Source organism: Homo sapiens, chromosome X (genome assembly GCF_000001405.40).
Source record: "Homo sapiens chromosome X, GRCh38.p14 Primary Assembly".
NCBI classification, from domain to species: Eukaryota; Metazoa; Chordata; class Mammalia; order Primates; family Hominidae; genus Homo; species Homo sapiens.
The window spans coordinates 49,570,198-49,579,948 of NC_000023.11; the positions used below are offsets into that span (position 1 = coordinate 49,570,198).

Sequence of the window (9,751 nt, forward strand, 5' to 3'; positions counted from 1 at the left end):
GTTGAAGATGGGGTGAGTTTTGAGGGGAGCACTACTTGAGTCCCAGAGGCATAGGAAACAGCAGAGGGAGGTGGGATTCCCTTATCCTCAATGAGGATGGGCATGGAGGGTTTGGGGCGTGGCGCTGGGAACGGCAGCCCTCCCCAGCCCACAGCCGCGCATGCTCCCTGGGCTCCCGCCTCAGTGCGCATGTTCACTGGGCGTCTTCTGCCCGGCCCCTTCGCCCACGTGAAGAACGCCAGGGAGCTGTGAGGCAGTGCTGTGTGGTTCCTGCCGTCCGGACTCTTTTTCCTCTACTGAGATTCATCTGGTAGGTGTGCAGGCCAGTCATCCCGGGGGCTGAAGTGTGAGTGAGGGTGGAGAGGGCCTCGGGTGGGTCAGGCGGGTCCCGCTTCCTGGTCTGTGGCCTCCGAGGGAGAAGGGCCACGAGGTCGTCCTCCTTCCCTTCACAGGCTGCGAGGCCACCGGCGGCTTCGTGGTCGTGAAGGGGCCTGGACGGGGAGGAAGGTGGGCCGTGGAGGGGAGGCGGTCAGGGGCTCAGGTGAAGACGGGGTGAGTGCTGTTGGGGGGATGGAAGTCCCGAGGTGCCGGGATCCCCGACGACACAGGGCAGATTCCCTGAATGGGGCCCCCGGCGGGGGCGAGGCGGGCGGTGAAGAAGGGGCCTGGCACCTGGGAAGGCTGCGGCCTGGCGAGCGCCCCCTCAGCGGTGTGGAGTGCGGAGCGCCCGAGTGAGAAGCACTGCAAGGTCTCACCTCCGCCATGGAAGGTCCGAAAACAGTGGGAAGGAGTGGGCGAGGCAGTGCGGTCCAACCAAACTTGTTGTGAGTGGGGGTGAATGGCTCTAGGAAGTGGGAGTGTGCCCAAAGCAGCAATCACGAGAATTGTGATTCACTAGGGTTTTCGTGGGGAGTGCACTTGTGAAACTAAACCTCATCAGAAATGACCTCTGTCTGCGGGGCGCAGTGGCGCTCGCCTACGTATTCCCAGTTACTGGGGACACTGAGGTGGGAGGATCCCTTGAGCGGGAGGTCGAGGCTGCAGTGAGCTGTGATCACGCCGCTGCACTCCAGCCTGAGCAACACAGCGAGACCGCGTGTCCAAAAGAAATTTAGAAAAAAATGTCCTCTGCCTTTTGCCACACGCCTTAAGATGATTGCTCTGCCAGCCTGGCCAGCAGAAGTGGCTTTGTAGGCACTCAGACAGCGTACACACGTATGCTTAACTCTGGGACTTATTTTGAGAGTATTTTCAAAAGTAAAACGGCAAGTTAACATTTATCCATGGAAGTGATCGAATATAGCAGCCCTCTGGAGCGCACGTTCCCAATCACGGTTGTCTGTTTTCAGTGTGAAATATGAGTTGGCGAGGAAGATCGACCTATTATTGGCCTAGACCAAGGCGCTATGTACAGCCTCCTGAAATGATTGGGCCTATGCGGGTGAGTGCTTAAACGTTAATTCGATGTTTTCTATTAGTAGAAATTAATTTTTGTGATAGCGTCGTTGCATTAGTGTGGAAATGCTGATAAAGGTCTTTCCTGCTCATAAAAAATGAGGATGGCATCTCATGAAGGAAACATTGATTCTGGAGGATTTTTTTTTTCCTCTCGTGTTCTTCAGCTTTTGCCCATGACTTCTTTCTCCGGCTTTGTTTGTTAATGACAGATTGTACACATGTATTCCAACACAGAGTATAATAGCCCCCAAAGTCCTCGTGCGTCACTTTTCTCACAGTAACCTCCCTGTGGGTGGAGTAACCTTATTGGGCATAGAGCATAGAGTTGGAGAAATGTCTTTAGGCTTAGTTAGGACCAGAAATAGCTATGTATTCTGTGTATATATGTAAAATTTTGTATCAATAACGAAACTTATTTTCTATTTGCACACCCACACGTATTCCCCAGCCCGAGCAGTTCAGTGATGAAGTGGAACCAGCAACACCTGAAGAAGGGGAACCAGCAACTCAACGTCAGGATCCTGCAGCTGCTCAGGAGGGAGAGGATGAGGGAGCATCTGCAGGTCAAGGTGAGGGAAAGGGAAGAAGAACGTCTGCTGGTGTGTGCGTGTGTGTGTGTTCGTGTGTGTGTGTGCACGTGTGTGTGTGTTAGGCATTGTCACATAGGAGGAAGAGGAGGAAAGAAAACAATGGAAAGAATGCCTGAAATTGACTGGAAAAGCGAGGAGGCTATGTAGTTTGCAGCTTAGCTTAGGCAAATCCCTCACTATGATAAAAGTTCTCGACTTTATGAATGAGAGAATGGAGGTGCCAGGATTGTGTGTTATCCAAGAACCCTTGACTGGTGAATACAACATTTGTACTGTGTTCTAAGGTTTGTGTCTTCCTATCATGTATGTTGCTGGAAAGAAGGAAGTGATTTTGCTGAAAATGCTTAAAACTCAAAAGGCTTTACTGTAAGGTAGCTTAGTACTGACCCAAGAATAGACCCAGTTCAGAGGAGCAGGAGCAGCTCCAAAAACCGAGTCGCTGAATGTTGGCCCCCGTTTCCTTTGATTGATATTTTTATATGGTACGTTTGATAAAAGCTGGATAAATGAGGATACTGCCATACAGGTAGCTGGTTTAGTGATTTTTCTCAGCGGCCTTTAGGAGGTGATTAAATCCTTTTATGGTTAGAAAAGCAAAAACGGAATTATCCTGAGATTAACGTGAGATGGAAATAATTTCTCCGAGATAAAATGTTTTGAAAGGAAGCATTTATGTAACGGAGGTCATGGATTATTCCAGGGATGCACTGTTAAAAGTTCCTAGAATCTGACTGACAACAATGCCCATTAATTGCTGTCCGCCCACTCCCTTATTCTCAGTGCGGGGGACAGTATATTTTCTGTGATTCACAAACAATGTTATATTTGGTGCTTTGTTCTTCACGGGGTTCATTTATGGAATATTACCTTTAGGACCTTCGGACCTAAATATAACTTTATTTGAACAAAGTGAAGTTTCTCTTTACCCCAATAGGTAATGGGTGTCGTGACTGTAAGATTTTCCATAGTCCTCAAATCCATCCAGCTAATCAATCCTTCAGAAACTGACATTGTAATTGTAACTGAAATCCTACCCACGTGGTAGACTTCAGATTTCTCAGCTGACGCACACTGCTGTTGGTACTCTAGGGCTGAATATAAGCATTATACATGTCCTGTGGTTTATCCTTAGATTGTCATTTAGGAGAAAGGTCTAAAGCTGGGCTGAATGCCATGCACTCATAGTCCCAGCTACTTGGGAGGCCGAGGTGAGAGGATTGCTTGAGTCCTGGAGTTCAAGCCCAGCCTGGGAAACACAGTGAGACCTCATTGCTAATAAATAAATAAATGAATAAATAAATAAACACATAAATAAATTCATTAAATAAATAAAGTTTTCATGGTATAGGAAAACACAGATGCAAAGTTTTTGTGCCTAGTGGCTGGTAATGTTGCAAACGTAACTCCTTAGTGAACTGTACCACTTAAAAATAGTTAAGATGGTAAATTTTAGGATATCTGTATTTTTTACCACAATTGGAAATTCCTTTCTTCCTAAAGTTCAGTGCAGTTATCATATATTCTTTTAAATTTTTACTGTATGTATCTTCAAGACATAACATTCATAGAAAATTTGCAAGAATAGTACAATGAACTCATATACTGTTCATCTGGATTCACCAATTGTTAGTAGCTTTCGCTTCATAGGTTTCACATCTCTTCCCTCCGTCTCTTACCGTGCTGCCCACACACTCACACACACACACACACACACACATACGGATATATGTTTACTGTTATTAATGGTGAATTGTCTCGATAAAGTTTCAGGGATTATGGTCCTTTACCCTATGTACTTGAGGGTGTGTATATCGTCAGAACAAAGAGAAAGTCATTTCTTGGATCATCACTGCACAAAGATAAAAATCAGGAAATTTAACAATGAGAAAATGGAGTCATTTAATACAGAGTGCATACTCAAATTTTGCCAGTTCCCCAGAAAATTTCTTTTTTCCTTTTTTTTTTCTTTGTTGAGACGGAGTCTCTCTCTGTGGGCCAGGTGGGAGTGCAGTAGTGCGATCTCGGCTCACTGCAACCTACACCTCCCAGGTTCTAGGGATTCTCATGCCTCAGCCTCCCGTGTAGCTGGGACTACAGGCGCCGGCCACTGCGGTCTTGAACTTCTGGCCTCACCTGCTCTGCCCACCTTGGCATCCCAAAATGTTTGGATTGCAGGCGTGAGACCCCACGCCCGGCCCAGATAATTTTATTGATAGGATTTCTTTTTCTGATCCAGAGTCCAGTTCAGAATCACACCTTGCATGTGCTTTTCAGGTGTTTTTAGTTTCCTTTAACCTGTAATGTTTCCTTAATTTTTCTTGTCATTCACGATACGGACATTTTTGGAGAGGATAGACCAGTTGGTTTGCAGAATATTCTGCAGTTTGGGCTTTTTCATGTATTTTTAAAAGAGTTTTCTCACTCAGCGTTTATTGGTGGCTACTCATGCCATGTAAGAGTCTAAGCGCTAGGAGTGTAAGTGCTGTGAGAGACGGGATTTGAGCCTTGAGTCATTTAATACGAGAAGGACAATCAGAAGTAGAATAAGAGAGAAGTGCAAAGGAGGCAGCAAAGTTGTCTGAGGGCAGTCTTCGGAAAGGAAGAGGGTATTATTTGGAACACCTTGTTTTCCTGTTTTCTGCTAATGGACTCCTGAAATAATGTTCCTGGGATTCTTATCAACACATTTAGTATTACGTTAGCTAAAGCTTTTATATAATAATACCGAGAGCATGAATATTATTTTCTTATTCATACTTTATGTTTTACTGCTTAAATTGATACGTATTTTTTATTTTTAAGGGCCGAAGCCTGAAGCTCATAGCCAGGAACAGGGTCACCCACAGACTGGGTGTGAGTGTGAAGATGGTCCTGATGGGCAGGAGATGGACCCGCCAAATCCAGAGGAGGTGAAAACGCCTGAAGAAGGTAGGCAATCCATTAGGCATGCACATTGTAGGGTGTCTGTTTCCACAGTATCATATTGTAATTGTTACTATGTTTTTGAGACGGAGTCTCGCTCTGAAGACCAGGCTGGAGTGCAGTGGTGCCATTTCGGCTCACTGGAAATTCTGTCTCCAGGGTTCAAGTGATTCTCCTGCCTGAGCCTCTGGCGGAGCCGGGCTTACAGGCATGCTCCGCCGCGCCCAGCTAATTGTTGTATTTTTAGTAGAGACAGGGTTTCGTTATGTTGCACAGGTTGTTCCCGAACTCCTGACCTCAGGTGATCCACCTGCCTCGACCATTGAAATTGCCGGGATTACAGGCGAGAGCCACCGTGCCCGACCCAGCATTATATTTTTAATAACGGAGAGGTAACAATACTGCCTCTTTAGTAACAGAGTTCTTATATAAAGGTTATTTGAAACGTAGTTCAGGCCCCAGCACCCGACTGATAGACTGTCAGGTAGGGAAACAAACTGAGTCAAAGCTATGTTGAATTAAAAGTTTTGAGTGTAAATCCTTAAACCAGTAGCTCACAATTTTCAGATGCTTTTGTAAAGGTCTGCTTTTAATCAATACATAACACGTTTGTAACACCCATCACTTGGTGTGAAAAATGCTGAAGCACTCATGCGGGTTCTAATACCAGCTCTTACAGCCTTGGCGAGATTCTGAGTGAGTCCTTTCCCTTCTAAACCTATCTTTGGTTCTTATGAAAATAGTGAGTTTAAGTCAGAGATTTTAAAACCATTTTGCATTCCGTTTCTTTCATACTCTGATCCTGTTGCATAGAATGCGTGGGACACAGAGATCATCTGCTTCGCATGGTTTGTTAATCACAAATCATGAAACCCTGGCCCGAGTCATCTGAAAATCTCTGAATTGAGATTTCATTGTCAGTAAGACAGTGAGCCGGCCCTCTGCTTCATCCTAGTTTTTCCGTGTGGAGAGCTGAATACGTAGTGTAAGATCTTGTGAAATTGTGAATTCTCCCTCTTCTTGGTTTGTTTGTTTGTTTGCGACAGAGTCTCAGTGTGTCACCCAGGCTGGAGTGCAGTGATGCAATTTCAGCTCACTGCAACTTCTGGCTCCCAGGCTAAAGCCGTCCTCCCACCTCAGCCTCCCGAGTGGCTGGAACTACATGCACAAGCCACCGTGCCTGACTACATTTTTTTGTTTTCATTTTTGTAGAGATGAGGTCTCACTGTGTTGCCCAGGCAGGGTTTCTCTGGCTTTTAATGAACAATTGCTTCTTTTTTTTTCTTTTATTTATTTATTTATTTATTTATTTATTTATTTATCATTATACTTTAAGTTTTAGGGTACATGTGCACGTTGTGCAGGTTAGTTACATATGTATACATGTGCCATGCTGGTGCGCTGCACCCACTATCTCATCATCTAGCATTAGGTACATCTCCCAGTGCTATCCCTCCCCCCTCCCCCCACCCGACAACAGTCCCCAGGGTGTGATATTCCCCTTCCTCTGTCCATGTGATCTCATTGTTCAGTTCCCACCTATGAGTGAGAATATGCGGTGTTTGGTTTTTTGTTCTTGCAATAGTTTACTGAGAATGATGATTTCCAGTTTCATCCATGTCCCTACAAAGGACATGAACTCATCATTTTTTAGGGCTGCATAGTATTCCATGGTGTATATGTGCCACATTTTCTTAATCCAGTCTATCGTTGTTGGACATTTGGGTTGGTTCCAAGTCTTTGCTATCGTGAATAATGCCGCAATAAACATACGTGTGCATGTGTCTTTATAGCAGCATGATTTATAGTCCTTTGGGTATATACCCAGTAATGGGATGGCTGGGTCAAATGGTACAATTGCTTCTTAAAACTTTCCCCACGGAAACCTTGAGTGACTGAAATAAATATCAAATGGCGAGAGACCGTTTAGTTCGTATCATCTGTGGCATGTAGGTCAGTGATGCTCAGCATGGGTGTGAGTAAGATGCCTGTGCTATGCATGCTCCCTGCCCCACTGTCAGTCTTCATGAGCCACTATTTCTAATAAGACTGTAGACACACATACGATATAATCATCTCTAATCATATCAAATGTTACATGTAAGTTTCACCTTTAGAGACATGAATTGATAAGATTTGAAGTTGAAAGACCATGACTCTAGTACTTCCTGAGTAATCAACTGAAGTATGCTTTACGCATGTGTTTTCCAAATTGCTGACTGTTAATTGTAAGTGCTTGTGACTTGAAAGGAAGCACTTGATGTTCAGGGAGGAAATTCCTTTTAAATTCTGCAGGTCTACGCTCAAAGTTAATGCAGAGGTTCAATTGCGTGTAAGACACGGGATCTCCCATAGGGTTCTGTTTTTAGTCCATTTAATAAAACCCAAACTGTAGTGTGCTTTGTATGCCTTTAGGGTCATCTGAATAATCTGTTGCTAAGTCATGTTCCCAATCGTTGTGTTTCTGTTACAGGTGAAAAGCAATCACAGTGTTAAAAGAAGACACGTTGAAATGATGCAGGCTGCTCCTATGTTGGAAATTTGTTCATTAAAATTCTCCCAATAAAGCTTTACAGCCTTCTGCAAAGAAGTCTTGCGCATCTTTTGTGAAGTTTATTTCTAGCTTTTTGATGCTGTGAAATATGTATCATTCTTTGAAATCGTGTATTGTAACTCTCTGAGCTGGTATGTAGAGACATCGTTCTTTTTTTTTCTTTTTTTCTTTGTCCTCTTTTGAGACGGAGTCTTGCTCTGTCGCCCAGGCTGGAGTGCAGTGGCGCGATCTCTGCTCACTGCAACCCCGCCTCCCGGATTCAAGCAATTGTCTGCCTCAGCCTCCCGAGTAGCTGGGATTATAGGCACCCACCAGCACGCCTGGCTAAGTTTTGTGTTTTTACTAGAGATGGGCTTTCGCCATCTTGGCCGGGGTGCTCTTGAACTCCTGACCTCGTGATTCACCTGCCTTGGCCTCCCAAAGTGCTGGGATTACAGGCATGAGCCTCCGTGCCCGGTGGAGACATAATTCTTACATATTGGTTTTCTATCCAGCGGCCTTGTGAAATATGCTTGTGAATTCTAAAGTTTACTTCTAGGTCGTTTTCAGTCTTCAATATACAGAAACATATCATCCTGGAATAAGAGCAGTTTTGTTTCCGCCATATTTTTTTCTTTTCCCTTTTGTATTTTTTTGTAGAGACGGGGTTTTGCCATGTTTCCCGGGCTGTTGTTGAACTTTTGAGTGCAAGTGATGCACCCACCTCACCTCCCACAGTGCTGGGATTACTGGCGTGGGCCACCGTGGCGGGCCCGTCGTTGGCATTGTAAAGAGTTTTATTTCCTTTTCTGATTTTATGGCATTGTGCAGACCCACCCGTTACAATGGTGACAGTGGACATCCTTGTCTTCTCCCTGATGAGAAACCGAAAAATTTCAACATTTCGCCATCCTATTCACTCTCCTTTTTTTGTAGACGGACTTTATCAGAGTGAGTCATTGCATTCTGTTCCAAATTTGCTGAGAGTATTCATTTGAATATATGTTGATTTTCATCAAACAGTGCATCTATTTCGATTACCACAGCGTTTTTTCCCATTCATGTGTTAATATAGTGAATTCGATTGATAAATTTGTACGTTTTTAGGTTCGATTATTAAAACTTGAGACAGCGTCTCACTCTGTCACCGAGGCTGGAGTGCGGTGGTGTTATCAGAGCTCGCTGCAGCCTTGACCTCCTGGGCTCAAGCGCGCCTCCCACCTCAGCCTCCTGAGGAGCTGTGAGTATAGGTACATGCCACCATGCCCAGCTAATTTTTCGATGGTTTTTTGTTTGTTTTTTGTAGTGATGAGATTTTCTGATGTTGCTTAGGCTGGTCTCGAAGTCCTGAGCTCAGGTGATCTGGCCAGCTCAGCCTCCCAAAATACTAGGATTACAGGCGTGAGCCTTGGCCTGGTCTGGTTTTTCTTATATAGGGGTCTTATCTATATAAAGACTAAAGTTAATCTGTGCCTTTGTGCGGGTGGGCTAAGAGCATGATGACTTTTATCATTCTATTGATTTAAAGAAAACTGTCCTTGACTTACCAGTGTGTAAGTCCATGAAAGCATAATTCTGTTGAAAGCATATATTGTTAATGGGTGTTGGGAACCGTGCACTTTCCGCTGCTGTGGGAGCATGTCCTTGGAGGTACCTTTCATCTGTTTTCTCAACTCCAAACATCTTAGGACCATGGGTTGTGACTGGTAGGACTATGTATCTTGCTGCTTTCAAGACGGAGTATATTTTCACGTGGTGTCACTCTGGCTGTCCTGTTTCCCTAATACTGTCACTTCACCCTCTGCGATTCTGATGCTACAAATGATAGATATCGTTTTAGCATTTTCTTACGGGTCCTAGCGATTCTATTCATTTTTCTTTCAGTCTCTTTCTCTGACTTGTTCACATTGAACAATTTCCTTTTGGGATAGGTTGCTATTTCTGTTTTCGCAGGTGGTTTACCTGTCTTCCCAGCCAGTCACAGTGGTCCTTGTCCCCATGGTGGGTCCGGGGCAAGAGAGGGCCCTGGGTTGGGGGTGGGGTTCAGTTGAAGATGGGGTGAGTTTTGAGGGGAGCACTACTTGAGTCCCAGAGGCATAGGAAACAGCAGAGGGAGGTGGGATTCCCTTATCCTCAATGAGGATGGGCATGGAGGGTTTGGGGCGTGGCGCTGGGAACGGCAGCCCTCCCCAGCCCACAGCCGCGCATGCTCCCTGGGCTCCCGCCTCAGTGCGCATGTTCACTGGGC

The 9,751-nt window shown here is 45.1% G+C and overlaps 1 protein-coding gene across 2 annotated transcripts; it reads left to right on the forward strand.

The window, feature by feature from the left end:
- Positions 1–199: 199 nt before the first annotated feature.
- On the forward strand, positions 200–7,560 carry GAGE12G (G antigen 12G). 2 transcript variants are annotated; one of them, NM_001098409.4, is made up of 5 exons: positions 203–310; positions 1,350–1,441; positions 1,907–2,027; positions 4,851–4,976; positions 7,444–7,557. In NM_001098409.4, exons 2-5 carry the CDS (start codon positions 1,358–1,360, stop codon positions 7,464–7,466), a joined length of 354 nt encoding a protein of 117 aa, NP_001091879.1. In that variant the 5' UTR covers positions 203–310; positions 1,350–1,357; the 3' UTR covers positions 7,467–7,557. The 2 variants fall into 2 exon arrangements, with proteins under 2 accessions (NP_001341351.1, NP_001091879.1); NM_001354422.1 differs by lacking the exon at positions 4,851–4,976 and having other exon boundaries at positions 200–310; positions 7,444–7,560.
- The last annotated feature ends 2,191 nt before the right edge of the window (positions 7,561–9,751 follow it).